This window comes from Homo sapiens, chromosome 10 (genome assembly GCF_000001405.40).
Source record: "Homo sapiens chromosome 10, GRCh38.p14 Primary Assembly".
In the NCBI taxonomy this organism is placed as follows: Eukaryota; Metazoa; Chordata; class Mammalia; order Primates; family Hominidae; genus Homo; species Homo sapiens.
Genome location: NC_000010.11, coordinates 103,395,145 through 103,423,137, shown reverse-complemented (window position 1 = coordinate 103,423,137; position 27,993 = coordinate 103,395,145). Strand labels below are relative to the sequence as shown.

Below are 27,993 nucleotides of genomic sequence, written 5' to 3'. Positions count from 1 at the left end.
CTGCGCGATGGTATCTGCTGGCTTTCAGGACCAGGTCGGGCACTGGACCCCCACTGAATACCACAGAGCCATCTTCCAACACCTCCTGCACCACTAGGTCAAGGAACATTCCTGGGGTCATCTCGGCCAGCGTCTGGATCAACACAGAGTCTGCCAGAGATCCAAAGGAAACACGGATTAGTACCATGAAAGAACTCTCACTGTTCTTTTCCTCTGGCAGTGTGCTATCACCACGGAGGACAGTGGAGCACTGGAACCACTGACAAGGTAAAATCACTTTTTGCAAAAATGTTCAGTATCCATGAAAACTCTTGTCACAAGCAGACAGACCTAAGCCCCTTGCTAATAATCCTACCTGACCATAATTCATGGGAGTAGCCAACAAATACCAGGAAGACAGGCTTTCCTTTGGTTTCTGAATTTTCACTGTCCCCTCTCAAGCCTCCTGCTATGAAATTCCATTAAAGTTACAACAACCCCACACAATGGTTCAAAGTCTAAGAGGGTCAGAATAATAACCCCTCACAAAGCCTGGCAGGTCCCAGTTCCATTTCATCTGCTGAATAAAGGAATGAAAGGTGAAAAGGCGAGTGAATTCACAGCAAATGCAAATATAAAGCCACAGAACTAAGGGAAATTTTGACTCTGGACTGGCAGTGGGGAGAAGAGGACATCTAGGATGCTCGTAATGACCTTTATCTTAAAGGGGTGTAATATAAACATTTATTGAGCTGCACACATAATAACTGTGCACTTTGGCCGGGCGCAGTGGCTCACGCCTGTAATCCCAGCACTTTGGGAGGCCAGGGCGGGTGGATCACTTGAGGTCAGGAGTTCGAGACCAGCCTGGCCAACATGGCGAAACCCTGTCTTCTCTAAAAATACAAAAATTAGCCAGACATGGTGGCAGATGCCTGTAATCCTAGCTACTCCGGAGGCTGAGGAAGGAGAATCGCTTGAACCTGGGGGGTGGAAGTTGCAGTGGCCAAGATCGCACCACCACACTCCATCCCAGGCGACAGAGTGCAACTTGGTCTCAATAATAATAATAATAATAATAATAATAATAATAATAATAATAAAATTGTGCACTTTATGCAGGTCATACTTCCATTAAAAAAAAAGTTAACCCAATTTTTTTTTTCTTTTTTTTTTTTTTTTTTTGAGACGGAGTCTCACTCTGTCACCCAGGCCGGACTGCGGGCTGCAGTGACGCAATCTCGGCTCACTGCAAGCTCCGCTTCCCGGGTTCACGCCATTCTCCTGCCTCAGCCTCCCGAGTAGCTGGGACTACAGGCGCCCGCCACCGCGCCCGGCTAATTTTTTTTTGTATTTTTAGTAGAGACGGGGTTTCACCTTGTTAGCCAGGATGGTCTCGATCTCCTGACCTCATGATCCACCCGCCTCGGCCTCCCAAAGTGCTGGGATTACAGGCGTGAGCCACCGCGCCCGGCCCCAAATTTTTTTTTCTTATGTTCTGGGAAGCCCAACAACTCACCTAACAACAGGTGTAATTTACAACACATACTCCCACCCCTGGCCCACCTCCCCTGCCCCACAGGTGCCCCACCTCGGTTGCTCATAAGGCTGCGCACGCCCTGCAGCTCCTCCAGGCACTGATTCAGGAGGAGGAGGCTGGTGATAGCCAAGTCCCCCAGACCACAGTCCGACAGCCGCAGTGACAGCAGCATCCGCTGCTTCTCCTCATCCACATTGGTCACCTTTGCCGCTACTGTCTGGCCCTCAACAAAGTGGTCACTTGTGGAGGTCACAAATTTGTCACTCATGATCTGAACAGAAGAACAGGCAGGAGATGAGAAGAGGAAAGGTCTTCATTAAGACAACCCACTTGATGTTCCTGGAAAGGGGTACGTGAGTAGGGGGAAATGGGGCCTAGGAAGCTCCCCCAAGCCCTCTCTGAACACAGCTCTACTTCCCTTCCATAAAAACAGAGCCTCCGGATTGGCTGGGAGCAGTGGCTCACGCCTGTAATCCCAGCACTTCGGGAGGCCGAGGCGGGCAGATCATGGGGTCAGGAGTTCCAGACCAGCCTGACCAACATGGTGAAACCCTGACTCTACTAAAAATACAAAAATTAGCCAGGAGTGGTGGCATGCACCTGCAATTCCAGCTACTCGGGAGGCTGGGGCAGGAGAATCACTTGAATCCGGGAGGCAGAGGTTGCTGTAAGCCGAGATTGCGCCACTGCACTCCAGCCTGGGCGACAGAGTGAGACTCCATCTCAAAAAAAAAAAACAAAAACAAAAACAAACAACAACAACAAAAAAAACAGAGCCTCCAGGAGAGGGCACCCAGTCAAGAAGGCACATTCACAGCAAGCCAGGCAGACACCAGGGCTGTCCTCACCCCTAACAACCCACGGGAACCCTCTGCCCCTCACTGGGCTTGTTTCTGGGGCCCTCCCCTCTGCTCCCATTTTTAAAATGTTTCTGGCAGGGGATGCAAATGAGATTTTCCCAGGCAAAACACCAGGGAGACAGGCCTACAGAGGGGAAGAAATACTGATGAATGATCTGCAGCAGCAATCAGCTGCACGCCATTTGCTCGCTGTCTTCCATGACTTTGGTGAGTCCCATCCCCTCAATAGGCCTCGGCTGACGTGCCAGGCACACCAGGAGGCTCTGCTAGGGGACTGCTGGGATTGTTCCCATCTGAAAGTGCAGGACTCAATGACATGGGGGTGGGGGAGGTAATAATTTCAAAGACATTCTGGTCCCTTAACACCTCAAAAACCTCAGAAGTCTGCAAAACCTGTACTCAGTAGCTCAGGATGATCAATTTCCCTGTCTAAGTGTGCTGAGAGAATAAAAACAAGTGCAGTCATCTTCACACTGGAGACTAAGGCCTTCAATGTGTAGTGTGGAGTGGGAAAGGTGTCCCTTCCTCCAGATGGTCACACAGCTGGGCGAGAGGAACATGGGCCAAAAGCTCAGCTGCACTCACCCCTCCCAGGTGCCTTTATGTCACACACACCTTAAGAGGTACCCCTGAAAATCTTTCAAAAGAGTAAAGTATCCTTGGCCAGGTGCGGTGGCTCACACCTGTAATCGCAGCACTTTGGGAGGCCGAGGCAGGTGGATCACTTAAGGTCAGGAGTTCAAGACCAGCCTGGCCAACATGGTAAAACTCTGTCTCTACTACTCAAAAAAAAAAAAAAAAAAAAGCCTGGCATGTTGGTGGGCACCTGTAATCCCAGCTACTTGGAAGGCAGAAGCAGGAAAATCGCTTGAGCCCAGGAGGCGGAGGTTACAGCGAGCAGAGATCACACCACTGCAAGCCAGCCTGGGCGACAGAACAAGACTGTCTCAAAAAAAAAAGGAATAAAGTATCCTACTCCTCCCTACCCGCCCTCAGGTTCTGTGACCTTGTATCTCTCCTCAAAGCCCTTGTACATGGAGTTGAACTTACAGCTTTTGGGGCCAGTCCGCTAAGACCTGAGGGGAACTGGATGAACACGCCATAGTCCTTGATGCTCTTCACAAAACCAATGAGCAGCATTCCAGGATGGATTTCTGAGAAGTTCTTGGGATCCTGGCCACCTTCTACTGTGGAGACCAAGGCTGGCTTCCTGCAAAGAAGCTAGTGGTACTTCATCAAGGAATGTTCCAGAAAGGGCAGATGAAATGTCCATCTCTCCCATCTCCTTTCTCCACAGAGAAGGACAGAACTGCAGGCTGATCTCTGCTGCTACAGCGATTCTCTAAGTGTGCAGACCAGCAGCATCAACATCGCCTGAAACTTAGGAGAAATGCAAGTTCTCAAGCACCACCTAGACCTACTGAATTAGAAACTTTGGTGTGGCCCAGCCATCTGCATGGCCCAACTGCACACTACAGCTGAGAATCACGGTTTTATTCCATTCCCGATTCACTAATCTGCAGATTACTAGAGGACACCAAAAAGGGATGGCTCATCCCCCTGGTCTGGCAGCTGGATCAGCCATCACACAATCCTCTACTACTCCCTCTTTACACTGATGAACTCATTTTCCCTCCTCTGCCCATTTTTACTCCCAGGAGAATGAACTTTACATTCTGTGAGAAGCTCCTTCAAAGCACCCATGCAAAGACCAAAGGGAATATTCCTGAGCCTATAGCCCCGCGGGGAGAAGGCATAGGGGAAAAAAAAAAAGAGGAAAGGGGGACAGAAGCCACCTTATTATTGGTTCTAACCCAAGGGGCAGGCACTGAAAGCCCCAAGAAAACTAGATGTGCTCCCAAGCACCCCACTGGGCCTCCTTCTCCAGCCTCCGAGAGTCCCCCTCTCTGCAACCTTTCAGGCTACTCCGCCCTGACCACCAGCATCTGCTGGCAGCACTTACTCAGGCCTGCTCTTACTTTCCATAGCACAGGCTTCATCACTGGTTTGGTTTTGTGGAGATATTTCTGAGGTCAAATAGCTGTCTAATTTCCCCAGAATTTCCCATCCAAGCACCCATGGCCCCCCACCTTCCTCTGCTCCACAGATACCAGTCAAGGATACAACACGCCCCTCGCTCTGGCTCAGACACAGGACTCGGTGAAGGATGTCACCTGCCTGGAGCCAATGATGTAACAATGGGCCGTTGGCAACGTGGTCCGACAGATGAGATGTGGGGAGGAAAGCACGGATGTTGTGGGGCAGGACAGCCACCTCCAGCCCATCTTTGGTCTTCTCTAAAACCTTCACATCTACCAACTACCCAGGGAAGAGAAAGACAAAAATAGCACTTGTCATGAACAGAGAACAACCTGGTCTGGATTAGGCAGGGCTTGGAGGCATTAAACTCCGGCACCAAGGATCTCTAAGAGGCAGCTTTCTTCCAAACCCCACCCACCACCCCAACCACCCAGCATGCATGTACGTGCACATTCACCAGGACTCATGGGTGGACCCATCGCACTCCTCTCTCAAGTCCCTCCACGGAGCCCCAGGAAAGCCAGAACTGCAGGCTGGCCCTAGGGACCCGAGAGGAAAGAGGTCAGCAGCCCACTGCTGAAAAGCCTCACTGTAACAGGACTTTCAGGGACAGCTTCCATTTGTTCTGACACACAGGAAGGAATGCGTATGAACCCCTCTAGCCCCAAAATCTTATCTAGCTACCTCTATCTTTCCGCTTCGTGGGTTCCAATATGCCATGTGTTAGTGGTTCCCTGCTCTCTGCCACTGTAACATAAAATAGCTTGTCCAGAGAAGTCCACGTACCTGCCCAATGTTAATGGCTTTTCCTTTCTTCTGACTGTGTCCTGCAGGCTCTTTCTTTGGCTCTGGATCACTCGACAGCTTGAAGGATAAGAGCATCCTCTCTTTGGATGGCTCACAGTTCAATACGACAACCTTCACCACCTGGCAAGAAACCACACAGGCTTGGCCAACTCCTCCCAGCAAGCCTTGCAGGCCCTGCAACGTGCCCTCCACTACTGCTGCAGAGGACTTGGGAGATCTACCGAGCCTTTGGATCAGATCAGGAGGCAGTGAAAAGAAGAAATGCACTGAGAGCTACACAATCCCCCAGGGCAGCCTTTGGGATAAATGGAAGACATAAGTAACTTTTTTTGTACAATCCAAGTCTTAAAAATTATTTTTCTTTTTGAGGTGATGGAGATGCTAATTACCCTGGTTTGATCGTTACACATTGTAAGCATGTATTGAAATATCACATGGTGGCCAGGCTTAGTGGCTCAGGCCTGTAATTCCAGCACTTTGAAAGGCCAAGGCAGGCTGATCACTTGAAGCCAGGGAGTTCGAGACCAGCCTGGCCAACATGGCAAAATCCCATCTCTACTAAAAATACAAAAATTAGCCGGGTATGCCGGCACATGCCTGTAGTCCCAGCTACTTGGGTGGCTGAAGCACGAGAATCACTTGAGCCTGGGAGGTGGAGGTTGCAGTGAGCTGAGATCACGCCATTGCACTCCAGCCTGGGTGACAGAGGAAACTCTGTCTCAAAAAAAAAAAGGAAAAGAAAAAAGAAATATCATATTGTACCCCATAAATATGTACAATTATTATCTATCTGTTTAAAGTCGTTTAAAGGAATAAAAAAATGCTTTTCCTAGTGATACCAAGACTTACTAGTTTTACAGCACTGCCCCCATGTGGTGACAGTGACCTCAAAACAATTTCCGATATGAGAGGCACAGGTTTATTACAAGTAAAGACTGACCTCTTCCATGCGTGCCTGAGATCCATCAGCTTGCCAGCTTCTGCTGAACCCCGCTGAGGCTTTCTCTCTGTTCTGTTCCCCGTCTCCTCCATTTAGCCGGCTCACACCCACTGCCCCATGTGCTCTCTTCCTCAGCCTCCTAAAGGCAGCCCCACTACTTACTGCTCCTTCATATTTGTGTTTGTGGGGTCACCAAGGGTAAAGGGGACCTGTCTAGGGGAAGGGTTACCTGGCCAGTGTAAAAAACTCTCTCCGGGTCAGGGATATACTCAGTACTGAGCTCATGCTTGGGCACCAGTCCCTGCACATTGTTGTAGAACTTCACAATGCAGCCATAGTCCTTGACCCTGATGATGAAGCCATGTGTCTGCAGACCAGGCTTGGCATCGGCATAGCAGGTAATGACAGGTAGTTTGGACTCAATCAGGGTTTTTTTCAGGGTCATCATCAGCTTCTTGGCTTCAGGGTCACAAAGCAAAACCTAGGGGAGGGACACAGGCTGTCATCAAGTTATCTGTTATCATGAGAGCCACTGAGCTGGTCTCTGCAACCTCTTAAACCCAAAAGCCACGGGGCCATTCCCCAAGAACCTGCTATAGCTTTTCCTCTAATCATCTCAGTGGCAGATTCTTCCTGCTGTATGACAATCTGGAGCATACAAATCACTATTTCAAATGTAATTCCTCCCATAAATTGCTGCAAACTACCCTCTCCTGACCATGAAGCAACATTAATTATCTTACATCACCTCTATGGAGTCTTGGTTACACTAACTTCTACACCATCTTGGCTCCTTCCTAGTGGGCTTTGCATCTAGTCTAACAGAACCAATGATGAACCAATTTACCACCTTAGTACTGCCGTTTATTAGCTATGAAATAAGATGGAGATGCAACTGTCTTTCACCCCTTCAGAAGGTCATCTCCTTAAAGACAGAAAAAGTATTTTTAACCCTTGATCCCACTACTGTAAAATTTTGCACCAATGGGCAATCATTACCTCTGCTGAGTCAATAACGATGAGATAAACTGAATACCGGAAAATCTAACATGCTGAGTGCCTGCCCGTGGAGCACTCTTGTGTGCATCATCATGTTGGATCTTCACAACCCTATGAAGCTTTCCTTCGGATTCGAGCCTTTGTCATAAATCACCCATGTTTTGGCAGCTTTGCCAGGGCTATTTCTGTGCCTAGAACACAACCTTTGCTCTCCCCAACCTTCCAAATCCTACCTATCCTTTCAAGTTCCACCTCTGCCAGAAATCTAGAAAACATTATTGTCATACAGAGCTGAATTGTTCTGCCATGTATTAGCTGTGTGACTCTGGGCAAGACGGTTGGCTTTCCGAAGCTTTAATTTCCCCACCCGCAAAATGAAGATAATAGTGCTTAATTGTTAGGGTTGTTTCAAGGATTAAATGAAATAATGCTTGTCACATGCCTAGCATAGAAACTGGCACGGAATACCTGTTCGTGGCAGTCCTGTTCGTGGCAGTCGCTACTGATAACGTCAACAATTCTGGCTGCTCCAGCCCACCCTCACCTCCCCTTTCTCAGGTGTGACCACAGCACACAACCTGCACCAAGCCACATGGCAAAAGATCACAGGCTGGCTTGCTCTCTCATCACGTATGAATATTTTAACTCCCAATTATACTACACAAAACGGGGACTCACTTTTCTCTTCCCAATGCCAGGTACAGCACAAGACACACTACAGACATTACACACTCACTTTGTGGAAAAAGGCAGAAACTTCAGTTGAGAACTGCTTTCTTCCCATCTAGCCAAAACCCCAAGAGACCCTTCAGGAGGCTCACCCGGCACTTGACCTCATCCCCGATGTGGTACTTCTTCTCCGGATTCTTCATCAGGATGTCAGCCAGGTGCATGGGAGGTACCAGGCCCCTCATCTGCTCGCCCACCTTCACCAGCATCCCATATGACTTTATGGTTAGCACTGTGCCCTAGAGAATCCAAAGATAAGCTGCCACAATGTCTCAAGAATGGCCTTTCCCCCACCTCTTACAACAAGGCATGTCATACCTCCCCTTCACAGCCAACTTCCTGGGCTAACTGTGCCTGTTATTCCAGATGGCACATGGGTGAAGCACACACCCCACACTGAGCTGGATTATTCTGTCAGCTTTATTTATGGGAGCCTTCACATCTTTCTGTGTGAGCATGTGCTTTCTGTGTGCCTTAAAATACATTCCCCAAAGGAAGGGACTATGTCAAGGTCTCCTAAGGAATAAACTCTACATATAAAGGGAGCTGCTCGATTAGAGCCAAATGGTCGGACAGGACAGGTACCTGGAACTGGCTTCTCACTAATATCCCAGGTAGATCAATAATCACAGGACTAACTTTTGATCAGGTCTACTAACCACCATCAAATCCCAAATCTCAGGATTTATGATCTACTGCCTTTGTGTAGCTGGGTGGTGCTAGTAAGATCTTACCTTGAAATTAACTATGAGTTACCCAAAGAAAGAGAAAGAAATTCTAGTCAGCAGGCAGAAGCAAGGAACATGACATTCAATGTGTTAACATGAGGACTAACGGGCTGACAGTCACCTGTGCGTGAACTAAAGAACGCCTGATGGTGAGGCAGTACCTAATTATATGCTTGAGGTCTTACCTTTACCACTGCCCCAGGTTCGATGTCATGATATCTAAGGTACTGAGCTTCAATAATAGACCTAGGACAAGGAGAAAACACAGAATTAAATAAACTAGGGCAGAGGTTGCCTAAAATTCAGGGCTACCACAGGCATGCTGGCAAGAAAGAAAACCCTTCCCAAGCACAGCCAGGAGAAATGGAATATGAACATGTACAGGTGCACATCTCTACACCCCTACCTGTTAATGACAGACTTACGTTCGTAGAGAGAGCAAGGCCAGTTCATCCATTTGGCTGTAGTCAATAATTCTACACTTGTGAGTGTTCCCTGGCTTGAAGGCCTCAGGATTGAAGACGTTCTTAGAATCAGAGAGATGGCTGAGCTGCAAAGTACCAAGTGATTGAGGATAAGCCAGGGACAACAGGTCTGAGCCAATGAGACCTTACAGCCCATAGAGAGGACTCAACACTTATCATGTACCATAAAAACAGTACTTTGATTGCCTGGTTAAGTAATTCTTCACACTAAAAAACTGCTCTTTATCATCACAGAATTTCAGCAAGGTCAGGGAAAGTCCAGAACACAGGTCAGTCAACTGTGCCTAGTGCCTGTTTTTGTAAATAGAAGTTGTATTGGAATACAGCCATCTGTTCATTTACGTACTGTCTATGGCTGCTTTCATGCCATAACAGCAGCGTTGAACAATTAGGACAGAGACCACAGGGCCCACAGCCTAAAGTATTTATGACATAGCCCTTTAAGAAAAACTCTGCTGGGCCCTGGTCTGGATCCTAACTCATCCTTATACTTAACTATTAACCAAGTATCAGATATGGCAAGCTGGTTCTAAGGCATCCTAATACAGTCAATAGACATTGTTCTAATCACTATGAACAGGAATTAGAACTACAATATCCAAAAATTTTAAACTAGCATCAAGGAATGAAAGAAGCAGAAATGGCCCCCTGTGCTCCAGAAGTCCTTCCAGTGATAAGATCCCTGACCAAACAAAGAGGCCTCCTTACCCGGGCATAGGCCAGAACCCCATCCTTCAGCCTAAAGGTGGCCCCAGCCTTTTTGAAAAAACCCTGGACAGGAACATCATCCAGCACTGCTCCAAGGTTCTGGCAAGAGAGTCGGGTGAGTGGGCGTCCAGGCTGTAGGAAGATGGGGCGCAGGCTCAGGTGCACAACTCTGGTTCGAGGATGGACGCAAAGGATGCAGGCCCTCACCTAGACAAAAGGAAGGGCAGGGTGAGCAGGAGGAGGCACACAGGAGCACCCTAGAGCAGACCTTCCAGGCATCAAGCCTTTCCACATGCTAACCAGGTATGTGAGTACTCACATCCTTAGTATGTAAGTACTCAAACTGGCTTCCACACTCAAGCAGAATGCAGAAAAATCAAAATGTCCCATAGGGACTATGTATGACTAAATCAAAGCTTACTCAAGCCAGGTATGGGTGGCTCACACTGGTAATCCCAGCACTTTGGGACACCAAGGCAGGTGGATCACTTGAGCTCAGGAGTTAGAGACCAGCCTGCGCACATAGTGAAACCCTGTCTCAACAAAAAATACAAAAATAGGCTGGGGATCATGGCTCACGCCTGTAATCCCAGCACTTTGGGAGTCTGAGGTGGGCAGATCACTTGAGATCAGGAGTCTGAGACAGCCCAGCCAACATGGCGAAACCTCATCTCTAGTTTTAATAAAAAAAAGTTAGGCTGGAAGCAGTGGCTGATGCCTATAATCCCAGCTCTTTGGGAGGCCGAAGCAGGCAGCAGGCAGATCACGAGGTCAGGAGATCAAGGCCATCCTGGCTAACACAGTGAAACCCCGTCTCTACTAAAAATACAAAAAATTAGCTGGGTGTGGTGGCACACACCTGTAATCCCAGCTACTCAGGAGGCTCAAGCAGGAGAATCGCTTGAACCCAAGAGGCGGAGACTGCAGTGAGCCAAGATCACGCCACTGCACTCCAGCCTGGGCGACAGAGCAAGACTCCGTCTCAAAAAAAAAAATTAGCCGGGCATGGTGGTACGTACCTGTAATTCCAGCTACTCAGGAGGCTGAGGCACAAGAATCACTTAAAATGGGGAGGCAGAGGTTGCAGTGAGCCAACACTGTGCCACTGCACTCCAGCCTGGGTGACAAAGTAAGACTCAGTCTCAAGAAAAAAAAAAAAAGTTAGCCAAGCATGGTGGCATGCACCACTTTGGGAGGCTGAGGCAGGAGAATCACCTGAGTGAGCCCAGGAGGTCAAGGCTGCAGTGAGTGATGATCGTGCCACTGCACTCCAGCCTGGGTGACAGAGTGAGACCCTGTCTCAAAAAATAATAATAAAATAAATAAATAAAAATTAGCCAGAAAGTTTACTCAAGGCCAGAAAACTATATACTAGGTGTCCCCTCAACACCAAGGAGCTGATGTATCTGTAATACAACAGAAACCATGTACTGGTGTCACTGCATCCAAGGCTCCTCTGAAACTAACAGAAAAAGCCTGATCTCATCATAACATTAAAAGATGTAAAATGTCTCAACTCTATACACAAATGCTTATAGGGTGAAAAAAATTACTAAAAAGAGGTTTAGGAAAATATTAACAGTATTACCACTAGGTAGTAGAAAATCCTAGTTTCACTTTAAAAAAAAATTCTCAGCTAGTTGTAGTGGCTGAAGCCTATAATCCCAGCACTTTAGGAGGCTAATCCCAGCACTTTAGGAGGCCTAGGCAGGAGGATCATTTGAGCCCAGGTGTTTAAGACCAGCCTGAGCAACACAGCGAGACCCCATCTCTATAAAACATAGCAAAAATTAGCTGGGCGTGGTGGCATGCATCCGTAGTCCCAGCTACTCAGGAGGCTGAGGTGGAAGGATCGCCTGAACCCAGGAGGTTGAGGTTGCAATTAACCGTGGTTGTGCCATTGTACTCCACTCTGGGCAATAGTGTGTGACCTTGTCTCAAAAAATAAATAAATAAATAAATTATCTATAGCACACATTACTATTTAAAAAAAGAAAAGTAAGAAATCATTTTAGAATTCTAAAAAATTCTGAATAACATATATTAGGATTTTCTTCCCAAATATCCATGTTCATTGTAGGAAATTTGAATATTTAAATACGAGCGGAGCCAGGGTTGTGGCTCACACCTGTAATCCCTGCACTTTGGGAGGCCAAGGTTGGGGGACTCCTTGAGCCCCGGAGTTCAAAACCAGTCTGGGCAACATGGCGAGACCTCGCCTGTAAAAATTTTTTTTTTTTTTTTTTTAAAGACAGAGTCTCACTCTGTCGCTCAGGCTGGGGTGCAGTGGCACAATCTCGGCTCACTGCAACCTCTGCCTCCTGGGTTCAAGCGATTCTCCTGCCTCAGTCTCCCGAGTAGCTGGGACTACAGGCACGCACCACCAGGTCTGGCTAATTTTTTTTATTTTTAGTAGAGACGGGGTTTCACCATGCTGGCCAGGCTGGTTTTGAACTCCTGACCTTGTGATCCTCCCACCTCGGCCTACCAAAGTGCTGGGATTATAGGCGTGAGCCACCACACCTGGCCTAAAAAAAATTTTTTTTAACTAGCCAGGCATTGTGGCACACATCTGTGGTCCTAGCTACTCTGAGGACTAAGGTGGGAGATCAATTGAGTCCAGGAGATTGAAGCTGCAGTGAGCCGTGTTTGCGCCACTGCACTCCAGCCTGGGTGACAGAGTAAGACACTGTCTTAAAAAAAAAAGAAAAAAAAAAAAAAGAAAAGAAAAGAAAAATCACCCAGAATTCATCACTATTAACACCTGATTGCCTAATATTCCAGTATTTTAACCAGAGGTACTTTTTAAAATTTTTTTCAAAGTTGGATCTATACTATACAACTTTTAAAATCACCTTTTGCTGTTTAAACGTATCTTATTCTCCTATGTTAAATATTCTTCTAAACTACTTTAAATTATAAAAACAAAAATACTACTACCACCAAAGGAAAAAAAAATCAAACTATATGGAAGACTATGAAGTAAAAACTGAAAGTTGCCTTCTTCTCCACCTGCTCCTTCTCTAATTTCAGTTCAGCCACTGAGAGTTTCTTACTTTCCTTCCATAACACTTTTTTTTTTTTTTTTGAGATGGAGTCTCGCTCTGTTGTCTAGGCTGGAGTGCAGTGGCACGATCTCAGCTCACTGCAACCTCGGCCTCCCGGGTTCAAGCGATTCTCCTGCCTCACCTTCCTGAGTAGCTGGGACTACAGGCATGCGCCACCACGCCTGGCTAATTTTTGTATTTTTAGTAGAGACGGGGTTTCACCATGTTGGCCAGGCTAGTCTTGAACTCCTGACCTTAAGTGATCCGCCCACCTCACCTCCTAAAGTGTTGGGATTACAAGCATGAGCCACTGCATCTGGCCTCCATAACACTTTTCATTATTCCTCTCATCTCCTCTCTGCACACCTGTATGCATGCAGTCCTAGGACCTCCCTGTAGCTAGCTGTGATACTGGACAGCAAATGGACCACAACTGGAATCAAGAAAATATAGGCTCAACATTTCTTACTGCCTGATTTGAGAAATATGTTCCAGCTTTCTTGGGATCCAGGTGCATAAAGTCAACCACGCCCGTGAAGAATGTGAGGAAGTTTAGCGTAAGGCCAAATGGAGTCACCTAGAAATAAACAGAACAAGTTATAAAAAAAAGTTCTTTGAAAGAACCAGGAATGTGAGACATTGCTCACAGTAAACACTCAATGCCATAGTATCCCTAACTGTGTATCTCTCCTCTCCCAGGTAACTCTTAACAATCTTTTCTTCCTATACAAATAACTGGCAGAACAATTCCTGCACTGGCTGTTTCTTTCCTTAGTAGGCTCACCTCCCTTCCAGCTAAGAGAGGACATCAATCCTCCCACTCTCTGGGAGTCCTCCATGGAATGGAAGAAGCTTTGTATATGTATCCTTGGGGAACTGCCAGCCTGACAACTGGAATAGATTGTTACTAACTTAGATATTTTCCCAGTATAGGAAGGTAAAAAAAAAAGGTTAAAAAAAAAAGGGCTTGCAAAAGGGAGATACTGACCACAAGCAAGCCAAGTCACCCTTATGGAGTCACCAAAAAGCGAAAAGTAACAATCCCCTCAAAAGATAGTGGTGAGGGAGATGAATGAAATCAGAGAACTAAGACCTCTCTCTTACCTTCCCGGAAAATACTAAACCTATTCTCTGGGAAAACTGTTACCAGAATCAAAAAACAGGAAAAGTGCAAATTCTGAAAATGTCAATTAAATTCTAAATATCATGTAAATATTCTTATGTCAATTAAATTCTAAATATCATGTAAATATCCAGCCCCTTTCTCGTACTCATTCTCGGGCAGCCAGGCTTAGACCCTCGTGGGTGGAGATTGCCAGATCCTTTCTAGAGAAATCTAACATGCCAGAGAAGACCTATAACAATCACATTAGGAGGTTGCCCAAATTAAATCTGCTAGTCCTGTTCCTGACAGGAAAGTTAAACGGTCAACAAGAAGGTGGGCGCAGTGGCTCATGCCTATAATCCTAGCACTCTGGGAGGCTGAGGCAGGTGGACCACCTGAGCTCAGGAGTTTGAGACCAGCCTGGCCAACACAGTGAAACCCTGTCTCTACAAAAATACAAAAATTAGCCAGGTGTGGTGGTGGGTGCCTGTAGTCCCAGCTACTCTGGAGGCTAACGCAGGAGAATCACTTGAACCTGGATGGTGGAGGCTGCAATGAGCCGAGATCATGCCACTGCACTCCAGCCTAGGTGACAGAGCAAGACTCTGTCTCAAAAATAAATAAATAAATAATTATAAAAATTTTAAAAATTAAAAAAACAGTCAACAATCCCACACAGGCACATAGACTTGCTCACAGTTTTTTAGTACCTCACTCATCATATGGCAATCTAAACAAAAACTTCCTAGAGAATTGGAAGTTAAAGTTGAGAGGCTCTCCCAGGATGCTTCTGGATAATGTACCACACTAAAACGAGGGAGTAAACCCAAAAAGAAGAATACATGGGACCAAAGAAGGCTCCAATACAGACAGAGGAGACAGCAGAAGGGAAGTCCTAGGATACCGGCTATGCAGGAGCCCTACAGAGCAACTAGTCCATCCTAGAGCACAAGGACATTAAAAAGGGTTCTAGGTGGGAGGAAAAAGAAACTAGTAGTTTACTTAAAGGGTTTGAAAACATGCAGAATTGTAATAAGTGGAAAATAAGTTGAAGGTATAGGAAAAAATACTGATAGGAAGAGAATTTCGCAAATGACAAAAACAAAGCTGACTGCCAACTCCAAGGGAAAAAAGCTGTTCAAGGTCATAGTAGGCCAGGTGTGGTGGCTCACACCTGTAATCACGGCATTTTGGAAGGCCCAGGCAGGCAGATCACTTAAGGTCAGGATTTTGACACAAGCCTGGCCAACATGGTGAAACCCTGTCTCTACTAAAAACACAAAAACCAGCCGGGTGTGGTGGTGTATGCCTGTAGTCCCAGCTACTCGGGAGGCTGAGGCAGGGGGATCGCTTGAATCCGGGAGGCAGAGGTTGCAGTGACCCGAGATCACGCCACTGCATGCCAGCCTGGGCAACAGGGCGAGCCTCCGTCTCAAAAAAAAAAAGAAAGTCATGCTAGTATGCTGGGTGAGGTCACTCATGCCTGTAATCCCAGCACTTTGGGAGGCCAGGGTGGGAGGATCACTAGAGCTCAGGAGTTCAACACCAGCCTGGGCAACAGAGTAAGACTTCACCTCTATAAAATATATATATTTTGTTTGTTTGTTTGAGACGGAGTCTCGCACAGTCGCCCAGGCTGGAATGCAGTGGCACAATCTTGGCTCACTGCAAGCTCCACCTCCTGGGTTCACGCCATTCTCCTGCCTCAGCCTCCCGAGTAGCTGGGACTACAGGTACCCGCCACCACACCCAGCTAATTTTTTGTATTTTTAGCAGAGACGGGGTTTCACCGTGTTAGCCAAGATGGTCTCGATCTCCTGACCTCGTGATCAGCCTGCCTCGGCCTCCAAAGTGCTAGGAAAATATATATATTTTTTAATTAAAAAAAGAGAGACCAAAATCTTTTCTACCTTGATAAAAAGTTAAAACTCAATGCCTAAGATGGAAAAATCAAGAGATACCAGCAGAAGCTTATTACTCAAAAATATGGAGAGAAATTTCAAAAGATAAGCTAAAAGAGTTAAAGATGGGGGTTATGACGGATAAGTTCTTCATTATAAACCTTTTAATTCCATTTGACCTTTCAGATCAGCACTGTCCAACAGAAATACAATGTCAGTCACACAAGTAATTTTAAGTTTTCTAGCAGTCACATTTTAGAAACTACAAAGAAACAAAAGACTTTTTAGTATAGTTTTTTAACCTAATATATCCAAAATATTATCATTTCAACATGTGGCACTGGCCACATTTGAAATGCTCAATGGGCGTAAGTGACTAGTGACTACCTTTATCAGACAGTAGTTTTAGACTTTATGCATTTAATATTTTGAAAAGAATTATTTTTATTTTAAAAAGTAGTAGTAGCATAACAGCTTACCTTCTGTACCTGAGCTTTGACCACCAGTCCTGGTAGCAAGTTATTAAGGTTCCAGCTCTGCTGTTCAGTAGCAATGGCCGTAGAAACCTCTGAGTGACCAACAGACAGACTAACAACTCCTCCGTTGCCTTTCACCTTTTCAACAATGCAGTTCAGGTACTGACCCACCTTTAGTTTAGCACCTGTAAGCCCAGACCCAGGCCCCAAAAGGAAAAATGTATCTATGAGAAGGACTTTTAACGTGGGCCCAAGTAATACCTGAAAAGACCCATGGCCTACCTGCCCAGTTAGCATCAGTTACTCCCCAAATTCCCAATCTTTAAGGGGCCAACTACAAGAAGGAAACGAAGTTATCCTAATTGATCTGGAATTCAATTACCACACAAAAATACACAAGCCAGGAGACTGCTGGTTCAGAAGCCATGGGGGCCCTAATTGCAGTGGAATCTTCCAGGTTAGAAAAACTGACACTGTTCCATCAGATCTTAGTGAGACCTTACCACTCGCTGGCCCTTCATACATCTTTCCTTTCCTATTAACTAGGATTAAGTGCTGGTTTTACCAAAGCCACAGCACCTTCAGGGTCACCATTCTGTCATGTTACTCATCAAAATGGCACTTAAATATAATCCCCACATGTACCACCTCACCACCATGTACTGGCCCCTTTTCTTGCCCTCACCTTTGTTCTTCTGTCTGATGTACTCCTGGGCTTTCAGCAGTGGCAGAAAAGCTCTGGTCCCATCAACACCAATGTCCACTAGGTAGCCATGGTCTTCCAGGCTGGATACGGTACCTGTAAGTAGCTGGGGAAGAGAAAGTAGTCCCAGAAGTTCCAATTCAAAGGTAATGGGACACACACAAAACATCCAAACTTGAATGTTCCTGCCACTAAGCTCACACTCTGCCACTATCCCACTCCCACATTAAACCTTAAGCCACAATCCCACTAGACAGCAGACATCAAATTCAACACTCCCAGGCTTGAAGGAGCTGATGGTTGCCAGGCAATGAGGAATGTTTAACACAGCTGAATGATGGAACAATATAGAAGAGTCTCTTGCCTCAAGTGGTTTCAAAAGATAGCAAACTTTCGGCAGGGCACAGTGGCTCATGCCTGTAATCCCAGCATTTTGGAAGGCTGAGGCAGGCAGATCACTTGAGGTCAAGAGTTTGAGACCAGCCTGGCCAACATGGTGAAATCCCGTCTCTATTAAAAATACAAAAATTAGCTGGGCATGGCACCTGTAATCCCTGCCTCAGGAGGTTGAGGCAGAAGAATTGCTTAAACCCAGGAGGTGGAGGCTGTGGTGAGCCGAGATCATGCCACTGCTTTCTAGCCTGGGCAACAACAGCGAAACTCCGACTCAAAAAAAAAAAAGAAATTTGGACTTGCTTTCTCTTTTCTCTTCTCCAATGTAATGATTAGGTTCAAGTCTTCAATGTCCATTAAGTGCCCAAAGAACCCAAGAGACCTTCCTTCCAGAAAAAGAACCACTCCTATGTGTCACAATTGAGCTGAAAGTAAAAGGTGGCCTAGACCACGCTCCCTCAGAGGCAGAGAGAAGGCACATTGCCACTCTTCCTCCCCGACCCTAGACACCTACCATGCCAGGCTTCAGGGCCTCAGCACTCAGCACTCTGTTGACATTTTTGGGGTTCAGAGACAGCTTGACACTCTTCTTGCCCCTGTCTGTGATGCCCAGACTGCTCACCACACATCTTACCAGCATTCCAGGTGAGAAAAGTTCAGGCAAGTGAAGTAGGTCCTGCATAACACAAATGAGAAAGACCTGATATACACCCTTCTCCTGAACCAAAAATCCATTACCCAGCTTTGGCTCAGTGACTTCTCATCCTCAGACCCCAGAGAACCCAAAAGGTGGGTGAGGAATAACCCCCCATCCACAAAGGAAGTTGGGTCTGTGGCCTAGCCACAGTCTTGAATTTCAGCATAAGGCCTTCAAATATTTCCACATAACTGGCATGTAAAATGACTTGTCAAAAGAGTTGTCTACACTTTCTGCCTCTACTTCATCCCTTACTCATTCTTCGGCTCACTGCAATCTGCTTTCCACCCCTCTCACTCCACCACTCTATCTCCCATAGAATCACCAATGAGTTCCATATTGTTAAATCCAGTGGTCAGTTTTGCAGTCTATCTCTTACATGACCATTAAAAAGCACTTGAGGGTCGGGTGTGGTGGCTCATGCCTGTAATCCCAGCACTTAGGGAGGCCAAGGCGGGCAGATCACCTGACGTCAGGAGTTTGAGACCAGCCTGGCCAACATGGTAAAACCCTGTCTCTACTAAAAATACAAAAATTAGCTGGGTGTGGTGACATCTGCCTGTAATCCCAGCTACTCAGGAGGCTGAGGCAGGAGAATTGCTTGAATCTGGGAGCTGGAGGTTGCAGTGAGCTGAGATCATGTCACTGCACTCCAGCCTGGGCTAAAGAGTGAGACTCCATCTCAAAAACAAACAAACAAACAAAAATCATAGGTCAGGCATGATGGCTCACACCTATAATCCCAACACTCTGGGAGGCCGAGGCGGGTGGATCATTTGAGGTCAGGAGTTAGAGACCAGCCTGGCCAACATGGTGAAGCCCTGTCTCTACCGAAAATACAAAAATTAGCTGGGTGTGGTGGCTGGCACCTGTAATCCCAGCTACTGGGGAGGCTGAGGCAGGAGAATCACTTGAACCCAGGAGATGGAGGTTTCAGTGAGCTGAGATCATGCCACTGCACTCCAGCCTGGGCAACAGAGTGAGACTCTGTCTCAAAAACTGAAAAATCATGATCATCTCTCCCAATCCAGGTCCCCTTCAGGGTTTCCTATCTCAGGATGTCATGACCAAGCATCAAATCATGCAAAACAGAAACCTAGAACTCAGCCCTGACACCTCTATCTGCCCCACCACCCATATTGAATCTATCACCAAGCAATGACTTTGCCTCCTCAGTCCTCAGGAAATCCTGAACCCAGGTCACCATCAATCTCAGGACGTGAACGACTACAAGAGCCTCCTAACTTGTCTCTAAGCAACTTCTCATGCCTCTTCAATCTACACGTTATGCTGTACCCCAGTGAGAACATTTCAAGGACTTCCCATTGATTCTAGAATTTAAAAACAACCCTTAAAATGGTCTACAAGGCTGCATGTGCCCTGGCCCCCATTCAGGCTCTCCTGCCCATCTCACATCACACTCTCTCTTGCTCTCCTTACCTAGCCATACTAGCCTTCTCTCTGTTATATATTACATTGCTTCTGCCTGAACGCCTTTCCTTCTTTATCTAGGGAACCCTCATTCTTTAGATCTCAGCTTAAGCATCCCTTCCTCAACAGTCTTCCAGGCTCCCAGACTTAGTCAAAAATTCCTTTATGATAAACTCTCACGGGACCTTGTACTTTCCCTTCTTAGCACCTGGCAAAGTTGTAATTTTAAATCTATTTGTGTTCCACTTATTTTCAATAACAGGCTTCATTCGGATTTCCCTTACCTTCAGAGGTTGTTCTTGTGTCACCTGCTCATTCAGCTTTTTGGTGTAGGCATCACAGATTTCAGTGACTTGCACAAAGCCCTGGAGGCCATTGGGGAGACTAATCACCAGTTCCAGTTCATTCACCTCTTTCACGCAACCCAAAATACGCATTCCCTCACACAGGGACTAGAAGAGAAAAAGTGAAATGTGTACAATAAGGATGGGAACAACAATAGGGAAGGTTGGAAGGTCTGGCTTCTAGTGTCAATTTAAAAGCTATAAGGCCAAGCACAGTGGCTTACGCCCTATAATTCCAATACTTTGGGTGGCCAAGGCAGGAGGACTGCCTGGGCTCAGGAGTTTCAGACCAGCCTGGGCAACGTAGTTTCTCCAAAAAAAAAGATTAGCCAGGCATAGTGGTACACGCCTGTAGTCGCAGGTACTCGGAGGTGAGTGGATCGCTTGAGCCAGGAGGTTGAGTCTGCAGTGAGCTGTGATCACACCACTGCACTCCAGCCTTGGCAACAAAGTGACACCCTATCTCAAAAAATAAAGATAAAAAATAGGCCGGGTACAGTGGCTCATGCCTGTAGTCCCAGCACTTTGGGAGGCTGAGGCGGGTGGATCACCTGAGGTCAGGAGTTCGAGAGCAGCCTGGCCAACACGGCAAAACCCCGTCTCTACTAAAAATACAAAAATTAGCCGGGCATGGTGGCAGGTGCCTGTAATTCCAGCTACTCAGGAGGCTGAGGCAGGAGAATCACCTGAACCTGGGAGGTGGAGGTTGCAATGAACTGAGATCATGCCACTGCACTCCAGCCTGGGCAACAAGAGTGAAACTCTGTCTCGAAAATAAAAAAATAAAAATAAATAAAAAATAAAAACCTACAGGAATTTTATAAATGAAAAGAAATACACATGTGTACATATCAGTGAACTTCTCAAATATCTGACCGAGCACTGTAAAAGGTCTAGATTATACAACAGTGTTAACAGCACTGGGATACTGGAGGACACCTTTGCCTTTTACATTATTCTGAGCAACCCAAACTCAAATGCCTGGCAGACAACACAATGAAGGAAGCCAGCTAGTGGAGACAATGGCAGTCTGGAGTGACCATGCCAGGTCTAAAGGACACAACCACTACTCAGCTCCTTGTCATTACAAACATGAGGGAATACGGGCCTTCTGCTATCAGTACTTTCAAATTTTTACAAGAAGCCAGAAATCATATTTTCATGTAAAAAAATTTTTAGTTTTCAGCCAGGTGCAGTGGCTCACGCCTGTAATCCCAGCACTTTGGGAGGCGGAGGCGGGCAGATTACAAGGTCAGGATATTGAGACCATCCTGGCTAACATGGTAAAGCCCCGTCTCTACCAAAAATACAAAAACTTAGCTGGGCGTGGTGGCGGGCGCCTGTAGTCCCAGCTACTCAGGAGGCTGAGGCAGGAGAATGGCGAGAACCCGGGAGGCGGAGCTTGCAGTGAGCAGAGCAGAGATGGCACCACGGCACTCCAGCCTGGGCGACTGTGCGAGACTCCGTCTCAAAAAAAAAAAAAATTTTAGTTTTCTAATGTTGGCACCAAGTCTAACAATTTTTTTAAAGTATCATATAGGACAAAATATTGACTCTGAATCTAGCCAAATATGAATGTTCCTCTTCAAAGTTATTTAACTTCTTTTCTTTTTTATAACTAACACATATTGGTGTTATCATCTAAAAATGTAAGGCAGGCTGGCCGCGGTGGCTCACGCCTGTGATTCCAGCACTTTGGGAGGCCAAGGCAGGCAGATCACGAGGTCAGGAGTTCCAGACCAGCCTGACCAACATGGTGAAACCCCGTCTCTATTAAAAATACAAAAATTAGCCAGGCGTGGTGAGACACCTGTAATCCCAGCTACTCAGGAGGCTGAGGCAGGAGAATCGCTTGAACCCGGGAGGCAGAGGTTGCAGTGAGCTGAGATCACATCACTGCACTCCAGACTGCGCAACAGAGAGAGATTCCGTCTCAAAATAAATAAATAAATAAAATAAAATAATTTCAAAATTAAAAAATAAAAAATAAAAATGTAAGGAACACAGACCACTTCAATTCTTGGAAATGGGTTTCACATCTATGAAATGAATGGGTAAGATGAGAATGACTGCTAAAGTTACTGTCCATTCTAACCTCTGAATATATCAGAACTCAAGTCCTGTGAGGACACAAACAAGCCCACGACAGCTTTAAAGGAAAAAAAGGGGGCAGGCACGGTGGGTAGCTCATGTCTATAATCCCAACACTTCGGGAGGTTGAGGCAGGAGGATTGCTTGAGCACAGGAGTTCGAGACCAACCTGGGCAAAATAGCAAGATCCAAGCCCTACAAAAGATTTAAAAATTAGCTGGGCATGGTGACACACACCTTTAGTAGTCCCAATTTCTCAGGAGAAGCTGAGGCAGGAAGATTGCTTGAGCCCAGGAGTTCAAGACTAAAGTGAGCTATGATCATGCCTGCATTCCAGCCTGAGCAACAGAGTCAGGCCTGTCTCTGGAAAATAATAAATAAATACAAAGAAAAAGAAAAGATTCCTGGCATCGGTTAGCAATGGAAGGAAATCATGCTTACTCCTTAGCATAAATTCCAAGCATCTCTACACACACACGCATGAAATATAATATATTAAGGGGAAAATGGAATTAAGGGAAAAAAGAAGGAAAGAAGAAAAAAAGAACATACACAAACTTAAGCAACCAAGGTCGATTGTTTAAATGAAAACCAACTTTAACAAACCTCAACACTAAGGATTTCAAACTTCTCTCTTGCGGACTTGCTGCTTTCTCTCTTTTCGATTTTCAACTTTTTTGTTTTTGCTGGCCCCTTCTGGCTCTTTTTTCTTTTGGTGGATCCCTCTTCAGTAGAAATCTAGAAGCGGGTAGGGGGAGCCCACAAAGACCCAAAAGAATAAGAAGCAATCTGAGTTTTCCCTCCTATTTCAGGTCATCACTCACCTTGCTTTGTTACTCCTTCACTCCACCCTACCCCATCCCACTCCCAATTGTTCCTTTAATTCTTGCTTAAAAAAAAAAAAAAAAGGGGGGGGGCCGCCAATGTTCCCTCTGCCCAAGGTCTGAGAAGCCTCCTTCATGTTCCCAAAGTCTCTTCTCTCTTGTGTTCTCCCTCTCTTGACTGGGATGAACACTGGGTTCCCCAGTTTGAGAAGCAATGTAGAATAGTGCATGAAAATGGACACCAGAGTTACACAGACCCAAGTTAAATTCTCATCTTTTCCACCATAACAAGCTATGTGGTTTCAGCTAAATTATATAAAATCCAGGCACAGTGGCTCACACCAGTAATCCCAACACTTTGGGAGGCCAAGGCGGGAAGATCACTTGAGATTAGGAGTTCAAGACCAGCCTGGCCAACAGGCTGTATTTTTTTTTCCACTAAAAATACAAAAAAATTAAGCCGAGCATGGCAGCACGCACCTATAGTCCCAGGTACTCGGGAGGCTGATACAGGAGAATTGCTTGAACCAAGAAGTGGAGGTTGCAGTGAGCTGAGATCACAACACTGCACTTCAGCCTGGGCGACAGAGCAAGACACTGTTCCTCATCATGGAATTGCAATCAGTGCTTCACAGTACAGTTGAAAAGATTACATAATACAGACCTAAAGCCACACACTCAAATGTTAGTTCCCTTTCCCCAAGCATTTGGAGCACAGCCTAGTCTAGGTGAGACTGTGAAGTCTAATGCAAATTCTGACCATTACATGTGGCAAGGAACCCCTGTAAAAATGCAATGATCAGTCAGACACAGTGGAACATGCCTGTTGTTCCAGTTACTCAGGAGGCTAAGGAGGGAGGATCGACTGAGCCCAGGAGTTTAAGTCCAGCCTGAGTAACAGAGTGAAACATCATCTCTCCCCATCTCTTGAAAAAACAACAACAAAAATAACAAAAACATCAGCTGGGTGCAGTGGCTCACACCTGCCATCCCAGCACTTTGGGAGGTCAAGGTGAGCAGATCATCTGAGGTCAGGAGTTTCAGACCAGCCTGGCCAACATGGTGAAACCCCATCTCTAACAAAAATACAAAAATTAGTCAGGTATGGTAGCAGGCACCTGTAATCCCAGCTACTCACGCCACTGCACTTCAGCATGGGCAACAGAGTAAGACTTCGTCTCAAAAAAAAAAAAAAAAAAAAAACTGCTTCCTCTCCATCCTTAATCAACATGGCACATGGCAAAGAGTGTCTAAGAACAAGGAACAGCACTTTATTTATTTTGTTTGTGTGTTTTTTGAGACAGAGTCTCACTCTGTCGCCCAGGCAGGAGAGCAGTGGCACAATATTGGGTCAGTGCAACCTCCACCTTCTTGGTTCAAGCAATTCTCATGCCTCAGCCTCCCAAGTAGCTAGGACTACAGGTATACTACCATGCCCAGCTAGTTTTGGTATTAGTATAGACGGGGTTTCACCATGTTGGCCAGGCTGCTCTTGAATTCCTAGCCTCAAGTGATCCGCCTGCCTCGGCTTCCCAAACTGCTGGGATTACAGGCATGAGCCACTACGCCCAGCTAATAACAGTACTTTAATACTAAATGCCAAGCTTCAAAAGATACAGCCTTGTGGTGGTATGGCCTCTCTAAATGAGTTAAATTTATAGAAGTAGACTTCAATGCAAAAAAAATCTGGAAAAATAACACATTCTCAAATAAGGCTCATTTTTCACAAGACACTACAGTAAAAGTTTCCAGTGAGTGTCACCAAACAAGCATACTACTTACATCAAATAAGTTGTCTTGTTCAACTGACTGCTGGAAAGCTTTCTCTGGTTTGTGGATCTTTCTTGTACCTCCTCGGGGGAAGCTTTCTTCCAGGTTTGCCATGTTTGGGTCTCCTAAAAACAATGCAAAGGATAATGGTGACATGTTGTCTTGGTAGCAGATTTCAGAAAGGTGTTATCAACGGGCAAGAGACAGAACGTTCCAGCAATATGCTAGACAACATTCAGGACTACAACATAGATGGTTTAGATGTCAGGCCCGGAATAATCCATACTTCATCTTTCCAAAGGTCTCTGCTTCAAAACCACAAGTCCACCCACCTTCTTCCAGAAAAAGAAGTTATAGATTCAATGTAGCACATACTCACTAAGAAGCTACAGTTAAGTCAGAGATACACTGTAGCTCTACAGATGAATATATAATCCTCTGCCTTCAAAGAACATGCACACTTTTTGGAAGATAAAACAATTATGCAAGTAACTTAAAATGCAAATCAGATTATAAATGATCACAAAGATGTAGGAAGGGATAAGGCAATGTAGGAAGGGATAAGTAAAGGAGGCAAGCTTCATAAAGAAGATCTTTTTTAGCTTAAGGGTAAAAGATGAACAGAAGCTTGACAGGTAGAAAGGGAATGTGAGAAAAGACATGGATGGGAAAAGCCTATTATTTCAATAAACACCAGCAATTTCCCTATCAAACAACTGCTCAAAGGCTTGCTGTTGTCTCTGAGGAATTATTCAACTAGACCACTGGGAGATTAAAGCATAAAAATTGAAGTTAAATTTTAAAGAAGGCCGGGCACCATGGCTCACACCTGTAATGCCAGCACTTCGGGAGCCCGAGGCGCGTGGATCATCTGAGGTCAGGAGTTCGAGACCAGCATAGTCAACATGGCGAAACCCCGTCTCTACCAAAAACGCAAAAATTAGCCGGGCGTGGTGGCCTGCGCCTAGTCCCAGCTACTAGGCAGGCTGAAGCGTGAGAATTGCTTGAGGCCGGGAGGCGGAGGTTGCAGTGAGCTGAGATCATGCCGCCGCACTCCAACCTGGGAGACAAAGTGAGACTCTGTCTCAAAAAAATTAAAGGAGAAGTTGGGCTTTTTTGTGGAAGACCTTGAATTAGATATGGGTAGTTTGCTTTGGCAAGTCAGAGACTTAAGCAGGGAAAGCGAGAGAACAGTAAGCAAGAAAAATATACTGCAGGCTATAGATTGGACATGAAGAGAGACAGTATTGAAGGCAAGTAAATTCGGTAGAAGGATTCAAATGCACTGTTTCCTGTTATCTCAGTGACAGAAAAAAAAAAAAAAAAAAAGGATTCAAATGCAGTACAGCAGAGAAACCATGAGAACCAGAACTGGGTATAAGTGAAAACAGAAGACAGGAGAGGTTAGTTCTGACAGACACTTGGTAATAAGACTCTACAAGGGCTTTAGACTAAAGAAGTGATGACCGGGTGGGGCCAAGGATATGGAATCAGGGATGGGTATATGATTCATAGAAACAGGAAAGTTTGGGGGGTCTAGTTTGCTGATAATTTCACCCTTAATTTCCTTTCAAGCAAGGGGAAACTGAGGCTCTGAAAAGTAAGGCGATCCAGGGGCACAGAAGATACTTAGGCTACTTTCCGAACACAAAGCCTGGGGTTACAGGGGCTGCTACAACAGAGCCGGCTTCGAAGCGGGGCTAAGGTGGCCGAACCACACTCATCTAGCGTGTGCCTGGCAGGGAACCAGGCCTGGGACAGACCTGACAGCCATGAGGTTTCCTCCTTTTTCGCCTCTGCCTTTACTCACCAGCGCCACGGCGTCTGCACCCAGCTACCACTAACCTCGCGCCGCGGTACTCACACACGCGGAGACCAGGATACCCACAGTCCAGTGCAATTCTTCCGGAAGTGTGGGCGGGCTCAACACCCTACTTCCGTTGCTGTGTTGCGGAGGTGACCTAGAGACAGGAATCGGAAGGGCGGGATTTGGAGCCATAGCCAATCGTCGCATTAGGCCGAATCGCGGGGGCCGGCTAAACGCGTGCGGGGGAGGTGGCTTCTTCCGGCCGGGCCGAGAGGTGGTTACATTCGTTGAAGGACACCAGCTGCGGAATTTGCGGCTTTGGCAGGTGGGTGAAGAGGGGAGTCCGGGCTTGGACCTGGCGCCTGCACGTTGCAGGACCGCCCGCCGTTTCTGGCCGAGGAGCAACTCGAGTTCTTAGCTTTGGAGGAGAGAAACGGTGGGGAATGGGAAAGGAGCTAGAAAAAACGAGGGGCGCAAGGGGGCGGCCAGCGGGTGAGAAGCCTCGAGGTGAGGCGGATAGGTGCGCCCAAGGGCTCCCACAGTTTCCGAAGACCCTTAGATTGCATTCGCCAGTGGAGAAAAATGAGGCCCTCCGCGAAGCGTCCCTCGAGGTCACCCAGTGACGTAATATTGGACGAGGACTAGGGCTTCTGATCCCCATCACCGGCCGAATTAACCTCTTTTCTTCTGTATGTCCATAGCTGTTTGTTCCCACCGAGCTGTGCTTTAGGAAGCTGGCCAGCCGGGCCTCCTTTAGGTGCGCTGCAGCCTTTTTCAAAGCGAGTGAATGTGGCCCGGCCCCTACAGTTCGCCAGGCCCGCTGTAAAAGGGTTAGATTTCAGTCTATAGACGATCAGTGGGAAGGCCTTTCCTAGGAGGTAACCAGAACAGAGAGCTGTAAACTCCGTGAATGCAAGAGGCTGCTTCTGTTACCTGAGTGGTTCTCACTCATCTTTGCCTTCCTTACCTCGTGATCTCACCATTCCAGGTAGGTGTTAAGTTAGAAAGGAAAATAGCAATATCGAGGAACAGAGAAAGTAACAAGAGCTACTGGTCACTTTGGACCTTTAATAAAGTGCCCATCTCACAGGTGGAGAGAGGCACGGAAGGATTAGTTACATTTAAGAGCAGTTAGTGGCCGGGCGCGGTGGCTCACGCCTGTAATCCCAGCACTTTGGGAGGCCGAGGCGGGTAGATCACCTGAGGTCCAGAGTTCGAGACCAGCCTGAGTAGTATGGTGAAACCCCGTCCCTACCAACAATACAAAAATTAGCCGGGCGTGGTGGCGCGCGCCTGTAGTTCCAGCTACTCGGGAGGCTGAGGCAGGAGAACCGCTTGACCCCGGGAAGCGGAGATTGCAGTGAGCTGAGATCGCGCCACTGCACTCCAGCCTGGACGACAGAGCGAGACCTTGTCTCAAGAAGGGCAGTTAGCAACTTAATTAAAACATACCACCGTTTAACAACATTAAATCACAACTAGGAGTCTTACAAAGGGCACTGTAAACACAAGGGTTCCTTTATCTTTGCCCTAAAGTAACCTGCACCGTGCTGAAGAGTGCAGAACCAAATTTTTCGACCTTACTCCAT

General features: G+C 46.5%; 2 protein-coding genes across 9 annotated transcripts in view, besides 5 other annotated features; one reads left to right on the top strand and one right to left on the bottom strand.

The window, feature by feature from the left end:
• Positions 1-26,512, bottom strand: part of PDCD11 (programmed cell death 11) — a 49,669-nt gene extending 23,157 nt beyond the window's left edge. For 2 of the 5 annotated variants that reach the window (NM_001437421.1, NM_014976.2), the window contains exons 1-18: positions 26,408-26,512; positions 24,610-24,722; positions 22,610-22,741; positions 19,853-20,020; positions 17,955-18,116; positions 17,030-17,153; positions 16,348-16,529; positions 13,332-13,439; positions 9,816-10,022; positions 9,048-9,172; positions 8,808-8,868; positions 7,987-8,133; positions 6,396-6,647; positions 5,206-5,346; positions 4,504-4,698; positions 3,430-3,600; positions 1,571-1,790; positions 1-150 (exon numbers count right to left, since the gene is read on the bottom strand). In NM_001437421.1, coding sequence (NP_001424350.1) covers positions 1-150; positions 1,571-1,790; positions 3,430-3,600; positions 4,504-4,698; positions 5,206-5,346; positions 6,396-6,647; positions 7,987-8,133; positions 8,808-8,868; positions 9,048-9,172; positions 9,816-10,022; positions 13,332-13,439; positions 16,348-16,529; positions 17,030-17,153; positions 17,955-18,116; positions 19,853-20,020; positions 22,610-22,741; positions 24,610-24,711 — 2,647 coding nt within the window. In that variant the 5' untranslated portion in view covers positions 24,712-24,722; positions 26,408-26,512. Of the gene's footprint in view, positions 151-1,570; positions 1,791-3,429; positions 3,601-4,503; positions 4,699-5,205; positions 5,347-6,395; positions 6,648-7,986; positions 8,134-8,807; positions 8,869-9,047; positions 9,173-9,815; positions 10,023-13,331; positions 13,440-16,347; positions 16,530-17,029; positions 17,154-17,954; positions 18,117-19,852; positions 20,021-22,609; positions 22,742-23,307; positions 23,351-24,609; positions 24,723-26,407 lie in introns of those variants that run through there. The other 3 variants (NM_001411058.1, NM_001437420.1, XM_011539540.2) reach the window with 2 other exon arrangements.
• Positions 25,026-25,526: an enhancer, noted in NCBI's record as "H3K27ac-H3K4me1 hESC enhancer chr10:105157369-105157869 (GRCh37/hg19 assembly coordinates)". NCBI's record gives its function as "activates a minimal SCP1, AML or CMV promoter by ChIP-STARR-seq in primed H9 embryonic stem cells {active_cell/tissue: H9 hESC(primed)}" and the evidence as "EXISTENCE:reporter gene assay evidence [ECO:0000049][PMID:30033119]".
• Positions 25,527-26,028: an enhancer, noted in NCBI's record as "H3K27ac-H3K4me1 hESC enhancer chr10:105156867-105157368 (GRCh37/hg19 assembly coordinates)". NCBI's record gives its function as "activates a minimal SCP1, AML or CMV promoter by ChIP-STARR-seq in primed H9 embryonic stem cells {active_cell/tissue: H9 hESC(primed)}" and the evidence as "EXISTENCE:reporter gene assay evidence [ECO:0000049][PMID:30033119]".
• Positions 26,568-27,400: an enhancer, noted in NCBI's record as "H3K27ac-H3K4me1 hESC enhancer chr10:105155495-105156327 (GRCh37/hg19 assembly coordinates)". NCBI's record gives its function as "activates a minimal SCP1, AML or CMV promoter by ChIP-STARR-seq in primed H9 embryonic stem cells {active_cell/tissue: H9 hESC(primed)}" and the evidence as "EXISTENCE:reporter gene assay evidence [ECO:0000049][PMID:30033119]".
• ATP5MK (ATP synthase membrane subunit k) overlaps positions 26,663-27,993 on the top strand; it is a 7,426-nt gene continuing 6,095 nt past the window's right edge. For 2 of the 4 annotated variants that reach the window (NM_001206427.2, XM_024448237.2), the window contains exons 1-2: positions 26,663-26,729; positions 27,106-27,392. The gene's annotated coding sequence lies outside the window, so the exon portion shown is untranslated. The remainder of the gene's footprint in view (positions 26,730-27,105; positions 27,393-27,993) is intronic. The other 2 variants (NM_001206426.2, NM_032747.4) reach the window with 1 other exon arrangement.
• Positions 26,686-26,935: an enhancer, noted in NCBI's record as "active region_3959". NCBI's record gives its function as "activates an Ori minimal core promoter by ATAC-STARR-seq in GM12878 lymphoblastoid cells {active_cell/tissue: GM12878}" and the evidence as "EXISTENCE:reporter gene assay evidence [ECO:0000049][PMID:35858748]".
• Positions 27,086-27,175: an enhancer, noted in NCBI's record as "active region_3958". NCBI's record gives its function as "activates an Ori minimal core promoter by ATAC-STARR-seq in GM12878 lymphoblastoid cells {active_cell/tissue: GM12878}" and the evidence as "EXISTENCE:reporter gene assay evidence [ECO:0000049][PMID:35858748]".